This window comes from Homo sapiens, chromosome 1 (assembly GCF_000001405.40).
Source record: "Homo sapiens chromosome 1, GRCh38.p14 Primary Assembly".
Lineage (NCBI taxonomy): Eukaryota > Metazoa > Chordata > Mammalia > Primates > Hominidae > Homo > Homo sapiens.
Window position 1 is genome coordinate 156481406 of NC_000001.11, and position 13270 is coordinate 156494675.

A 13270-nucleotide genomic window follows, 5' to 3' on the forward strand; every position below is an offset into this window, starting at 1 on the left:
CCCAGTCCCTGGGCTCTGCTTAGGAGAATAGGAGGAAGAGAGAAATAGAGATGGAGACAGAGAGAGCGGGGAATGGGATGTGGAAAAGGAAAGGGGGATGAACACTGACTGAGTCCCTACTGTGACCACCCTACATTCTAGTGGAGGCACATCTGGGGGATCTGCAGTAGACCCCAAAGCTGCCCTCTTCATGCTCAAAATAGCTTTACAGATACTTGCTTTGTCTTTAAAATGAATGCAAATTTTACCTTCTAGTCTAGAGTAAATCTGTCTTCTCTAACATAAAAATAAGGGACTTTCCTCCAAATCTCTGAGTAGGCCTGTGGCTTCCCGGGCACCCTCTTCGTCAGCACAAGTTCTGTATCCCCAAGGTGCACGCACCTCAGTGTGAGAAGCAGGGACATTCAATTCACACAGCACCCTTCAAAGCAGGCACTGACCCCATTTTGTGGAGGTGGGCACCAAGGCTCGGGAAAGCCTAAGCACCTGCCCAAGGCCATGTGGCCGGTAAAGGTCAGAACTGAATTCCAAAGCTCATGTCCTTCAACAGTTCACAATGTTGGCTCTCTTTGAAACAGAAAATAGAACTACCGGGCCCACAAACAGACAGAGACAGCAGGAGAGATGGAAACAAAGAGGGAGATTTAAAAAAGGAAGAGGCAGGTGCAGGAGCACACCAGAAGATGGAGAAGCGGGGAAAGAGAGACAAAGAGAAAGACAGGATGCAAGAAGGCAGGATAGAGATGTTACATCACACTGGACGACAGCAGACTCTTGGAGAGGGCAGGGTGGGTGTGGGCTGGCAGCCTGGCACTGGCCTGTTCACTTGAACTGCCCTTCCTTCCTCCTCAGACCCTGGGTTTGTATGACAGAAGGAGGGTTTGCATGTGTGTGCGCACAGGTGAGGGGCTACAAGGGGCATGTATACCAGTGTGTGTGCATAGGCAGGTCTGCGTGTACATGCAACGTGGGCACGTGTCCATGTGGATGCAGGCGGGGGTATATCCTGGTGCCTGTGTGTATGGGCCCACCTCGATGATGTCGGCGTTGGTGCGGCTCTCGTGTGGCTCATTGTACTCCGTGTACTTGAGCAGCACCTTGTCCATGTCGGTGCTGGCGTACTGGAACAGCTTGTTGGAGTGGTTGAAGATGATGAGTGCGATCTCGCAGTCACATAGCACGCTCAGCTCATACGCCTTCTTCATCAGGCCAAACTTCCGCTTGGTGAAAGTCACCTGCAGAGAAGGATGGGTGGGCGGCCAGATCTGGCTCAGTTAAGGCCTGATTGGGAGTCCCAGCCTACAGATGGCTGGACATAGCCCCTGCCCTCAGGAGCCCCCATTCTCAGTGTGACACAGCCCCTGGTCTCAGGAGTCCCTGGTTTGGGGAAGGACCAGGCTAGTGCCTGTAGGCCAACACACAGCTTAGATACAGCCCAGAGCCCACTCACTGAAGGGGCAGGATTCAGGTGGACAGAACTCCACACCTCTGTGCTGGAGGCTATGAAGAGGTCAGTGGAGAAGAAGAGGGAGAGGATTCCTGTTGGGAAAGGAGGAGTGCCTGGGGGTATGACCTAAGGCTTGCAAATGGCTCTGGGATGGGAACATGGGCTCATCTAGCTGTGGCAGCAGAAGAGTCCTGGAGTCCAGGGACGCAGAGCTCCAAGAGCTGCGAAGAGGTTGGGGTTCCTCTTCTCCCAATCTCCCTTCCCCTTCTGTAATAGCTTATAGTTTCCCCTCTTCCACAAAGCCCTCTTGGAATGCCTGAAGGGAGTAGAGGCAGAGGCCTGCTCCCTGCCCTCACCCACTTCGTACGGCTCTAGGACTTCCCTACCTGTCGGTTCCGCTCGTCGGTGATTCGCTGGATCTGAATCTTTTTCCTCCCCATCTTCTCCGGGGGTCCTCAGTGCTACGGAGGGGAGGGGCTCGCTGGGTGGTGGGTCTCGGCACACCTTACACTGTGCTCATGAACGGTCTGGGAACAGTGCTCAGTTCATGGTCTGCAGGATACCTTCTGCACAGCCTCCTGGAAAGGGAGGGTCATGAGAGGTCTCTGAGCCCCCAAAACCCCCAGCCCTGCTCCCTGGGCACACAGGCCAGACTCACAGCGCCCCTGTGAGAGGCTGGCAGCATCTGAGCTCCACCCTCAACATGAGGCAATGCTGTCTGCCTGAGGCAATGGTATGCCACAGCCAGGCACAAGCTGGAGCTCACACCAAGGCCCAGACTCTTTCCCCTCGGTCACTGCTGTCCTCAGGCTCCAGGACAGAGTAAATGGACCTCCTGGCTTCCAAGGTCTGGGTCTCAGAGAATATCCCATGGCCCATTCTTCTCTCTAGAACCTGCTTGTACTATAGACACCTGGGTGCTCCAGCTGCTCCTCTGGCCTAGAACTATGGTTCCCATTCTGAAGCTTGGAGAAGAGACAACGCTGAGAGGACATCTGCCCAGTCAGTGAACAACAAGCATGGTATACCTGGTGCCAGGATGGGATGTCTCTGGTGCCCCTGGCTCAAGAACATACCAGAGCAGGTCTAGAGCAGTGGGCCTCATACCGACTCATGGAACTCTGGGGCCTGGAGTCCTGTAGTGGGGCTTGGGGTTGTAGCACCCACATCTCCCTTCAACTAGAGTTCCTCCACACTAATCTGTTTTACTCAGTGAGCTTAAGCCTAAGGTTTCTTTTTATTTTTATAAGCCTAGTCAAGTGCAGTAGTGAGAAGAGAAGAAAGAGTAGAACAAGGAGTTCGATCTGTAACTGACTGTGAACAATCAATTGAGCTAACTCACTACCTTTGGACATGCCCAGCCTAAGATTTTTGTTTGAGGAAAGAGTTGTGCTGCTTAAAACAATGAAACCATTCCTCTAGACCAGGAGATGGAAATTTTTGGGCCAGATAGTAATATTTCAGGCTTTGCAGACCATACAGTCTCTGTTGTAACTACTCAACTCTGTCACTGTACCATGAAAGCAACAGACAGCAACACATAAACGAATGAGTGTAAGCATGGCTGTGATCCAATACAACTATATTTACAAAAATGGGCATGGGCCAGATTTGGTCCACGGGCCATAGTTTGCTGATTCCTGCCCTAGAGGTATGGACCACATCTAGAACCCAAGCTCAGTCTAAGAGTAGTGCTTCCCAACCTTGTACATCTTGAAGCAGACAGAGAAAATACAGGAACAAATGACATACACTGGGGAGGCCACTGGCAGCCAGGCGGATGCAGGCACCAGGCAGAGAACCTGCTGTCTCAGGACACCTGTAACCCCCTCACAGCCCACTAGTTGAACAGCTCCATGCTAAAGCCAGGATGAGAAACAGCCCCTGCACTGAACAACTCCAGGAGGCACCATAGGATAAGAGGGGGCTCAAGGATGGCAGCACAGCCTGGGCCAGAAAAGGCGCATTCTCTCCGGTATGGGCAGTGCCTACATAGGCTGGGTGAGTCCTTGGGGACTGGAAGGGCCCAAGATGGGACGGAGGCACGGAATGACTTCAGGGCCCCCTCTAGCTCTGATTCCAGGAGTCCTTGCATCAAAAGTGGAGCTTTCTGGAAGATGTTGGAAGAGGATAGTGAACTGGGGCCCATGCTTTCTAAAGCCACTCTATTTGGGTCCTGGGAGGAGCCTGGACCAGAGAAGGCCCGCCCTCCCCTCCAGAGCTCCCCTTCCATAGAGCCCCATGCCCAGAGACCCTACTGTAGAGTCTAGGGATGTAGACCCCCAGCCACTGTCTGATCCTCTGCACCCACTGCACACTACCTGGGGAGAGGTGTTTGATGACAGAGAACAACTCTTACCCCTACCCCCCAGCTCCCACTGCCAATGGCTGCTGAGTTTCCCTGGAGCCTTTCCAGCCCAACTCTACATGGCCCCTACGGTACCACAGTAGATGCTAAAGTTCAGCCTTGGTCTCTTGCTCATGAGGGAAGGAGGAGAGGGAAGGCAAGGAATCTATCAATTTGGGAGGAGCTGGGATACTGGCCCCATCCCATTACCAAGACTGCTCCCCAGCCTAGCTGGAGAGCTTCTGCTTTGCCTGGATATCTACAGAAAACAATGCAGATAAATGCATTGCGCTTCAAACGACTCCCTACCCTTCTCCTTCTTCTTTTTTTTTTTTTTTTTTGGTGGTGGTTGTTGTTTTTTAAGATAGGGTCTTGCTCTGTTGTCCAGGCTGGAGTGTACAAATCACAGCTCACTGCAGCTTCAACCTTCCAGCCTCAGCCTCCCAAGTAGATGAGAATACAGGTGTATGCCACCACACCCAGGTAATTTATTAATAATTTCTTTTTTTTTTTTTTGGTAGATACAGGGTGTTGCTTTGTTGCTTAGGCTGGTTCAAACTCCTGGGCTTAAGTGATCCTCCTACCTCGGCCTTCCAAGTAGCTGGGACCATGAGTGTGTACCACCATGCCAAGCTAATTTTTTTGACTTTTTTTTTCTTTTTTTTTGTGAGACAGAGTCTCACTCTGTCACCCAGGCTGGAGTGCAGTGGCGTGATCTTGGCTCACCGCAACCTCTGCCTCCCGGGTTCAAGCGATTCTCCTGCCTCGGCCTCCCAAGTAGCTGGGATTACAGGTGTCTGCCACCACACCTGGCTAACTTTTGTATTTTCAGTACAGACAGGATTTCACCATGTTGGACAGGTTGGTCTCGAACTCCTGACCTTGTGATCCACCCACCTCGACCTCGTGCTCCATGGGCCCTGGGCCTCCTACTGGTACCCTGGGACAAGAGCAACACCAGCCCAGCCAGCCCTGAGTGGCCCAGCAGACACCTGAGCCCCAAACCAGCTCCAGACACCCCATTCCTCACCTGTGACCCCAGTGTCTGCCAAGTTCCCATTGCAAAGGCTCCAGCCCAGGGATTTCAGCTCCCCTGCTTCCCAGTGCAATCCAAAGACTGTGCTTTCTAGAGCTACAGTGGTGTGGGCTTTGGCAGGGAAGGTAGGGGAGGGCACACAGAGGGCAAGGGGAGGGGGCTACAAATAGTTGGCTTTTTAAATGGGATTCTCTGGCCTAGTCTTGAAAACCCAATCTAGACTGTTAAATGCAGGAACTGCTGAGCTCCTCTGGCTTACAGCATCTACCCTCCCTCTCTCCCCTTTACTATCTCCCTCTCACCACCTTTAGTTCATAACCGAATTCTTGCAGAGATGTAACCTCTGTCAGCTGATGACCAATACTGCCTCTTCCTCCAAACTGGAAGAGAAGCCTCTCTTTGTTCTCATGACCCTCAGAAAAGTCATTCTTGCAGTCTTTCTAGCATTTATCACAATTGTGAATAACTATGATTCTGTGCTTCTATTTAACGCCTGGCTCCTCTATGAGACTAAAGTTTCATGAGGGCAGGAATCACATCTGTCTTTTTCACTACTCTATCTCCTATAAGAAGGGAGCTGAGAAAATGTCTGTTGAAAAGAAGAAAATACTATTTCATTGTTGTGGTGCTGTGAGAAGTCCTTCTTGCAGTCTAACCTCCAACAGTCTTGCTGCAGTACCAGTTCCTCTCACTCTATCCTCTATGGAGCTAGAACCCTTGCTCTCCCAACTGCCCCTGAAGATTTGGACACCACCTACCCTCCAACCACCCCTGGTATCCCAGTCCTCAACCCTCCCCACCCTCAGGTTGGTTGGTGCAGAGGGTGAGACTCTAAAGTCTTCTAAGGAGCAGCCCTGAGCACATGGAGATGGAGAGGATGGGGTTGCTTAGGCAACTGTCGCCTGGCAACCAGCTCCCTGGCTGATCTCCTACACCGCCCCCCCCACCCCCGCCTCATGCTGGGGGAGCTGGGACGAGAGAGGGATCAGGGCTGAGAAGGCAGGGAAGCAACAGAGATTCACTGAGCATCGTCTGACAGAGAGAAGTCAGGGTTAAAAAGACTAGGCCCCATCTATCCCCACTCCCTACCAAGGTAGCCCAAAGCACTTTTTATAATTCCATGCTTCCCAGGCCCCTTTCCCCACTGCTGCTCCCACTTCTGTGCCAACACTGCCAGAGGAGGAGATGCCCCTGTCTTAGGCAGTCCTTCCTCCCATCTAACCACAAACCCCTCTACAAAGCAGATGCAGTCTATACTGACCTTTTTTCCTTCTGCTATCCATTCCACATTGCTGCAGGGTCTTTGAAAGCCCTGAGGCAAGAACATGAACTCAACCCTGATTTTGGAAGAAGGGGTAGCTGGGGCCTAGGCAGGCACAAAATACCCTAACCTGACCCTATCCAAGGTTTGGAGGCCTATCCTAGCTAAACTTCCCTCCTACCCAATTAGGGAGGTTTTAATGAACACCTGGACCTCCTTAATTAGCCCTCTGCCTAATTACCTAACCAACTGGCAGGAGCCAGAGGCCTGGGCATCTGTTCTCCAGATGTGAGTCTCTCCTCTCCAGCCTCACCTGGCCCCATTCTTCTCCTGTCTGGTCTACTCCTCCTCTAGGAAGCCCTCGCAGATGATCCGGCCCTTGGCTGCTTCTCTTCTAACCATCTCTCCTTCACCCTGCCTAGTATCTGGAGCCCAGGGCTTGGGAGGACTTGGGCTACCAAAGAGACAGGGGGTTGGCCAGGATGGCCTTCCTGTTCTGATGGCCCCAGGGCCTGCCCAATCCTGACCTCAGGCCACAACTATGACTCCTCGGGCTGACAGTATCTATGTCACCAAAAGTTCCCCTTCAAAGGCTCTCAAGGCTCTGGCTGATTGACTCTGATTCACCTGACTCCGTGGACAGGACAAGGGTGGGGCGGAGTGAACCTTGTGGGTGGCAGGGGGTTGGGACAGGCAGAGGCAGGGCCTTCCTGGTGGACATGGGAGAAGCAAAGATGGGCAGGACATTTGGCAATGCCCACCCATATCTGTTCCCATCCTAGTGGTCCCAAGGCTCAAAGAAACTACAGGGCATCTGCTTTCAAAGCTCCCATACCAGCACAGGTCAAAAGGGAGCAGATGCCCAGAGAGGGAAACAGGCACAAACTCACCAACTGTGGAGAAGGGTGGCTGAGGAGAAGCCTTCACAAATGGACAGCAGGGAGGATGCAGGGCAGGAGGCCCCTCTGACAACACCCTTGACAAAGAGAGCTGAGGGGACCAGGGGGAATCAAGAAGGACCCCACTGATAGCCATTTTTCCAATCCCAGGTACCGACCCAATTAGAACTTGTGGGTTGTGTTTACATGCAAATGAGCTACACATGATGTGCAAAATGTACCGTAAAGGAGGACTGGTTTGGAGGGGGCATGGGAGAAGAAACAGGTCCCTGCCTCCCCCAATGCAACACCTCTGGGTACCTGAGCAATATTCAAACCATTCTCGGGTTTCAGAATGATGCTATCTCAGTTCCTGTGTGAAGGTGGCCTGGGGCCAGTGGGGAGAGCGGTGAAGGGGAGAGGTCAGGGTAGCCTCCTTGCAGCTGCAGCAGGGCTGAGCAGGGCTGTCCTTCCCATGGAGCTGCAGGGGAATTCCTTTCCGATAGCCAGCCTCTATCCTCTCTTTCTTGCTCTTGGCAGGGGAGTACCTACCTGTCCTTCTCCCCTACACCCTTCCACCCATATCTGTTCCCATCCTAGTGGTCCCAAGGCTCAAAGAAACTACAGGGCATCTGCTTCCAGAGCTCCCATACCAGCACAGGTCAAAAGGGAGCAGATGCCCAGAGAAGCTGAGTGAGCAGCCTCGCATCACAGAGCAGTGGGCCTCAACCTGCTCTTCCTCATGGTGAGAAAGGGAGCTCTCATTAGGCAGGCCCTTCATCTCTTCCTCCCAGGCTGCTCCGGGCTGCAGGCTGAGGACTGGAGGGGAAGGCAGGAGGCGCTGGAGACAGCTGTCATCCCTCCTCCCGCCCCTTCCCTGTGGCTGGGCTGCAGGGCATGAAATAAGCAGCAGGCGCTGGGGGAGGGGGTGACAATCCAATCCACCTGTCACCCCCACAGTCAGGCAGCCTCAAGCAGCCTGCTCACTAACGAGGGAGGAGGCGTGGGTGAGGCAGACACAGAAGAGGGTGGCAGAGGGGGGACAGACACACAGACACAGGAAAGATGACAGAGAAAAAGAGGCAGCGAGGCCAGAAGGCATTATGGGGCAGAGGCAGAGACAGATAAGGAGAGGGCTAGAGGAGAGGGAGAGGCAGGAGACCACAGAGACAAAGATTCAGAGAGAAGCAGGTAGAGAACAAGAGACAGGTTCAACAACGGCTTCCAGGACTGACTCCTGGCCCAGCGCTGGGGGAATAACTCAACAGGACACCATCCCTGCCCTCTGAGAACTTGCAGTGCAGCCAAGAGACAGACAAGGGAGGGGCAGGTCCCACCCAGGGCAAGGGCAGGGAGAGGCAAGGGGGCCCTTGGGGGCCTGGACTGGACCCAGACACAGCCCCAGAAGGAGCATCCCAGAGCAGGCAGGCCGGCCCTGAGAGGCAGCAGAGGTGAGGACCGAGGACCAAGGACGACAGCTGCCCAGCTGAATCCCCAGGCCCTGCCTTATTACCCAGTCTACCCTCAGGTTCACAACCTTCCTAGTCATTCTCTCTTCCAACTTCAGCCCTGGGACCTCCTCCCTAGTACAGAGACACAGGCTAAGGAGCTCTGGGAGACAGGGCAGGAAGGTGAAGCCGGTGATGCCCCCAAACACCCAGGCAAGATGGTCCAGGATCATTCTGTGGTTCACACAGTGAGCTCTTCCTTCACAAAAGAAGTGGGGGGCATTACCCCTCCGAAGTCTGAGCCAAGGCAGGAGCCTCACATTGTCCCTCTCCCCATCCCACACACAGCCCAATTCTCACAACCCCTCCTGCGAGGCCTGCTCCCCACGCCCCTACTCCTGGGCCCCTCTCGGGTCTCCTTCTCATGCTCCGTTCCCTCTGCCCCCTCTCTGTCCCCGCCCCCTCCCACAGCAGCCTCTTTTCTTCACCCCAGAAGTGCTTCTAGGGTCTGATCTCAAAGGCAGAGACCCAGCCCCAACCCTTCAAAGTTCTGTCTGGCAGGCTCACTACCCAAATCCCTGGTTCCCACCGTCTTTCCCTCCCTCGGGGACTCCCCTCCCCCAGTCCAGCAGCCTCAGGGCTGGGCAGGGGCTATTTTTAGCCTGGGCACTGAGCTAATTTTAACTCACCGACTGGGGACCTGGGGGCGGGCTGTTGGTTTGTGGGGGCAGGCAGTCCAGGAAAGCTGGGCCTAGGGCAGGGGTGGTCTCAGGCCCCAGGCACCCTAAGAACTCAAATGGGGGGCAGGCCCTGCAGTCTCAGCTTAAGGGACAGGAACCGACTTGCCAAGGGGAGCACACGGTATGGAGAGCAGGGCTGAGCCCTCCCCCTAGCTTCCGCTGGACAACTCTCCCGAGCCCCACCCTAGCCTTCCCGCCCTCTTCTCCCTGGCAAGTCTCCTGGGATGGGGTCATCCTGTTCTCTGCCCAGGAGATGCCTCTCCAGTGAGGGTCTGTCTCCTGAGCCTCCTCCATGTCTTCCTCACCCCAGCTTGTTCTTCCTGTAGTCTAGCTCTCATCCTTCCTGTAGCAGCTGTGAGGCCATTTGGCTCTCTACAAGGCAGCAGCCTGTCCGCCAGGGTCCAGCACTTCCCACTGCAGCTCTGACCTTCCCCTTATGGCCTCTGGGCTGGCTCCTAGGTAACCACCCCGCACCCCCACAAAACAAGCTCCTAGAGCTAGCCAGACTGTTCTCAGAAGTATTTGGGGGCAACAGGAGATTGAGTCCCAGTAGAGAAGGGATGGGTGAGGTAGGGCAATGAACAGCTTAGGGAAATATGGGGTCTCTAAGCTGGGATTCTGGATACCTGGGTTCTAGTCCCTGCTCTGGTCTAAGATGTGATCCTGAGTAAGTCACTGCCTTCTACAGGCTTCACCCCACTGGCCAGTATTATGGGTAGCTGGGTGGACTAGGTACCCAAATGCCCTTCTGGCCCAAACACATGGCTCCTGTGCTCTCTGGGGAGGCCCAAAGGGAAGGGAGATCAGAATTGTGTAAGTCACGGAGAGGAACTGAAGAGATGGCCTGGCTGGGTCTGTCATCCTCCTGCTGGGGAGGAAAGGCAATGAGGGCGCTAGAAGACAGTCAGGATGGGGCTGGTGAAGGGGCAGGTGCCTTCTAAACAGTAACCCCCCAACAGATGGCCAAGGGTTCACAAAGGCTCTGGTCAGCCAGAACAAGTACCAAGTGGGGCACACAAGGCCCTTGTGGCAGAGGCTCAGTCATCCCAATCCCCTCACACACTGGGAATGCCTATCAGACCCACCTGCTTGTGGTTACTGAGCAGCAACTAGCCCAAGGTCACTGTTTGGTCCCTGGTGGGACCAGCTCTAGAACCCAAGCCTAAGGCTGTCTTCATACTCCATCCCAGCAGGCCGAGCTGCAATGACTCACCACCACTCATTTGCATGAGGATTTGCATAGCGTCTCTGACCTTATTCCTTCAGGCTCAACTTCCCATTCCAGGACCTGGGTCACCCCCACCCAGGATCCGTAGGCACTTGCGGACACCAAGTGGAGTTCTTGGCACCTCAGGCCTTTGTTCCCATCTTTCCCCTCCAGAAAGCATTCTTGGATTTATAGTAACTCCCAGTGATACAGTATAGAGCTCTCAGTCCAACTGGGTCCCCTACTCTTGTCTAGGCAGAGATGGGGAAGGGGTGTGAAATCACGAGGAATAAGCAAGCATGGCAGCTACAGGAGTTTGGTAAGATTCACAGGGTGAAGTGTGGCTCTGTCACTGCCTTGGGGCGTCACAGGAGAAGAATCCCATTCCCCTCTTTAGTGCTAAGGTTGGGGCGGCAGCAGCAGGAGGGAGGTGAGCTGTCCTTTACTTCCATTTCTAGCTCCATTTCCAAAACGCATCCACAGTGCAGGGTGGGAGTAAATGGCCCAGGACAGCAGGTAGGACAGATATAAGACTACAGAAAGAACTTCTCAGGGCTGAGTCCTTGGACTCAAAGTAGTCTCTGGGGCTCAAACTTGCTTTGTCAGAAGCCCTCCAACCAAGCATGCGAGGCTGGTGACACGTGGGAGGGCATGGAGGCCCCAGCATTGTATGCCAACCAATGGGAGCTGCAGACAACCAATCTCCTACCTACCTTTAAGTCTGACCTACATTTGTCCAGAGTATCTACACCTCTCCCATATCTTCTGAAACAATGAAGCCCAGCAGTGGTCTCCAATCCTAGGAAGTCCTTCCTGCTATCTAACGGCCATCCCTCCCACCGCAGCCAATCTTCCACTGTTACCTAACCCAATTTGGTCATCTAAACAAGAGCAATGGACAGGGGCCCTTGGCTATCAGAAGCCCTGGCTGAGGAGAGGTGGGGGCGGTTGGGACGGTTAGTGTGTCACCTTCCACCTCCCCAACACAACTTCCCTCTGGGGTCTCAGGAGACAGAAGTGAAAGTGGCAGCTGGGGCCTTGGGGGCGGGTCAGCTTGAGAGCCGTTGGAATGAGCATAATGCCACCAGTGCTGGGTCTGGGCTGCCTGCCATTGCAGCGGGTGGGCTAATGGTTAGATCAGGGGAGGGACTTCCCATGGAAATAAGTGCATGGGGTAATGAGGAGTGTGGGCCCCTGGCCAAAGGAAGAGCAGGCTGAAGAGATAAAAATGGAGAGAGGCAGGCAGCAGACAGTCTCAGAAGGGCATTCTCTTCCTGGGCAGTGTTTGTCCCCTTTTTTAAAGCAGCAAGATCCTTTCTTCTCACCCACAGCACTGAGACAGGGCTGCTCTGGCTGAAGCAGATGAAGGGGGTCTGAGCCCTGATTGCTGGGACATGAGAGCTAAGAGAGAGGGGAAAGAGTCCAAGGCCTGGGCCCTCAGACTGGACAGCACCAATTATGAGGAAAGGGGAGGTGGAAAACATGAAGGGTTCACCTACGATGATGACAGGGGACCCGAAAGAGGCCAATCCAATCAGGGAAAGCAAATCCTCCTAGAGACATCATGACCTCGAGAAGCCACTGAGGATTTAAAGGGGCCGTTCAGGGCAATAGCTGGGTCTCCTTCTAACTCGAAGGACAGTCCTCTAAGCCCCTGGCAGCGGAGGGAGGGCGGGCATTGTGGCTGCGTGGGCCTGCTGAGGCGGCCAGCCAGGCAGCTCTTACAGGATTAGCTTGCTGCTTTCAGGAAAGGTGCCAGGTGAGGCTAAGATGCCCAGCCAGATGGAGGGGGGCCCAGAAGGAAGGGGGTGGGGAGAGCAGTACCTGCACAAGGCTATGCAGATACATGTCGCCAAATCCGTGCTCCTTACCAATACCTGGCTTCTCACCCTTTCATGAGGATGCCGTGCAGGGACCCCTCAGATTTTTGCCAGCAAGGACCTCTGCCTACCAAGTTTTCCTTGCCATTACTATGATCTGGAGTTATCCTTCCTCTGAGGGGAAGTCCTGCCTGTTGTCTACTCTTGACTCCCCTGCTACAGTTTACAACCAGGGCCCCACCCCTCAGAACAGGTGAGGGGCTAAGCAGTTCCCCTAACTCCCCTCCTTCTTAGCTCCCCACCCCCAGGCTGACAGGTGGGGGAGATAAGAGGGAGCAGCTGGGCTAGGACACCTGTCCCCACCCAGCCATCATGGGCCCCAGAGGCCTGCATAAGGAGACTCAGCATAGAGGAGGCAGTGGTGGTGGCTGGAGGAAAGGGCCCATAGGTTAAGGAGAGAGGTGACAGGAAAGTCTGAGAAACCCACTTTCAGATCATCCCATCCTCCTGGTCTACCCCAACCATCATCCCTCACCAAAAGCACAATACACACATGCTTTAAAGGGAAAATCTCAAGGTTTGAGGTCATCCCTCAAACCCCTTGCTCTATTCCCTTGTTACTTGATCCAACTGGAGTGGGAAGACCCCAGGAAAAGAGACCAAGCCCCACTCTCCTCACTCCACCCGCCTGCCGTGCATTTCTACTTGAAACTCAGGGATGGGCTCTCCCCGTATTCTTTGTTCTCTCAACCCTCAACCCTAGGTATTTGCTGGTGGGCTGAGGATGAGAGAATCACGAGGGATAAGCAAGCATGCAGCCAGAGGGATCTGGCAAGACTCGTGGGGCTAAGTGTGGAGGAGGCAGGTTCTGAGACAAGGAGACGGCTGGATGGGGAGGGGAGGGCTGGGCTCAGCTTCCCAACCCATCCCAGGGCCAAACGGAGCCCTAGGCCAGGAGGAACCCTCAAGGCCTCCTCAATCCCTACCCTGGACACCAAAGGCATTCCTTGCCCCCACCCCTGCTTCTGGGTAGCTGCCTTAGCAGGCCAGTCCTGGGCCAGGCTGGGGCTGAAGGTCTGAGAGAAA

At 54.4% G+C, this 13270-nt stretch overlaps 1 protein-coding gene across 22 annotated transcripts in view, besides 4 other annotated features; it reads right to left on the minus strand.

The window, feature by feature from the left end:
- MEF2D (myocyte enhancer factor 2D) overlaps positions 1–13270 on the minus strand; it is a 37049-nt gene that overhangs the window by 17679 nt on the left and 6100 nt on the right. For 18 of the 22 annotated variants that reach the window (XM_006711334.4, XM_006711332.4, XM_006711333.3 and 15 more), the window contains 2 exons: positions 1834–2025; positions 1032–1235 (listed from right to left, as the gene is read on the minus strand). In XM_006711334.4, coding sequence (XP_006711397.1) covers positions 1032–1235; positions 1834–1887 — 258 coding nt within the window. In that variant the 5' untranslated portion in view covers positions 1888–2025. Of the gene's footprint in view, positions 1–1031; positions 1236–1833; positions 2026–9106; positions 9283–13270 lie in introns of those variants that run through there. The other 4 variants (XM_047421004.1, XM_047421009.1, XM_005245169.5 and 1 more) reach the window with 2 other exon arrangements.
- Positions 325–644: an enhancer, noted in NCBI's record as "active region_1863". NCBI's record gives its function as "activates an Ori minimal core promoter by ATAC-STARR-seq in GM12878 lymphoblastoid cells {active_cell/tissue: GM12878}" and the evidence as "EXISTENCE:reporter gene assay evidence [ECO:0000049][PMID:35858748]".
- Positions 6352–6521: an enhancer, noted in NCBI's record as "active region_1864". NCBI's record gives its function as "activates an Ori minimal core promoter by ATAC-STARR-seq in GM12878 lymphoblastoid cells {active_cell/tissue: GM12878}" and the evidence as "EXISTENCE:reporter gene assay evidence [ECO:0000049][PMID:35858748]".
- Positions 10492–10551: an enhancer, noted in NCBI's record as "active region_1865". NCBI's record gives its function as "activates an Ori minimal core promoter by ATAC-STARR-seq in GM12878 lymphoblastoid cells {active_cell/tissue: GM12878}" and the evidence as "EXISTENCE:reporter gene assay evidence [ECO:0000049][PMID:35858748]".
- Positions 11582–11751: an enhancer, noted in NCBI's record as "active region_1866". NCBI's record gives its function as "activates an Ori minimal core promoter by ATAC-STARR-seq in GM12878 lymphoblastoid cells {active_cell/tissue: GM12878}" and the evidence as "EXISTENCE:reporter gene assay evidence [ECO:0000049][PMID:35858748]".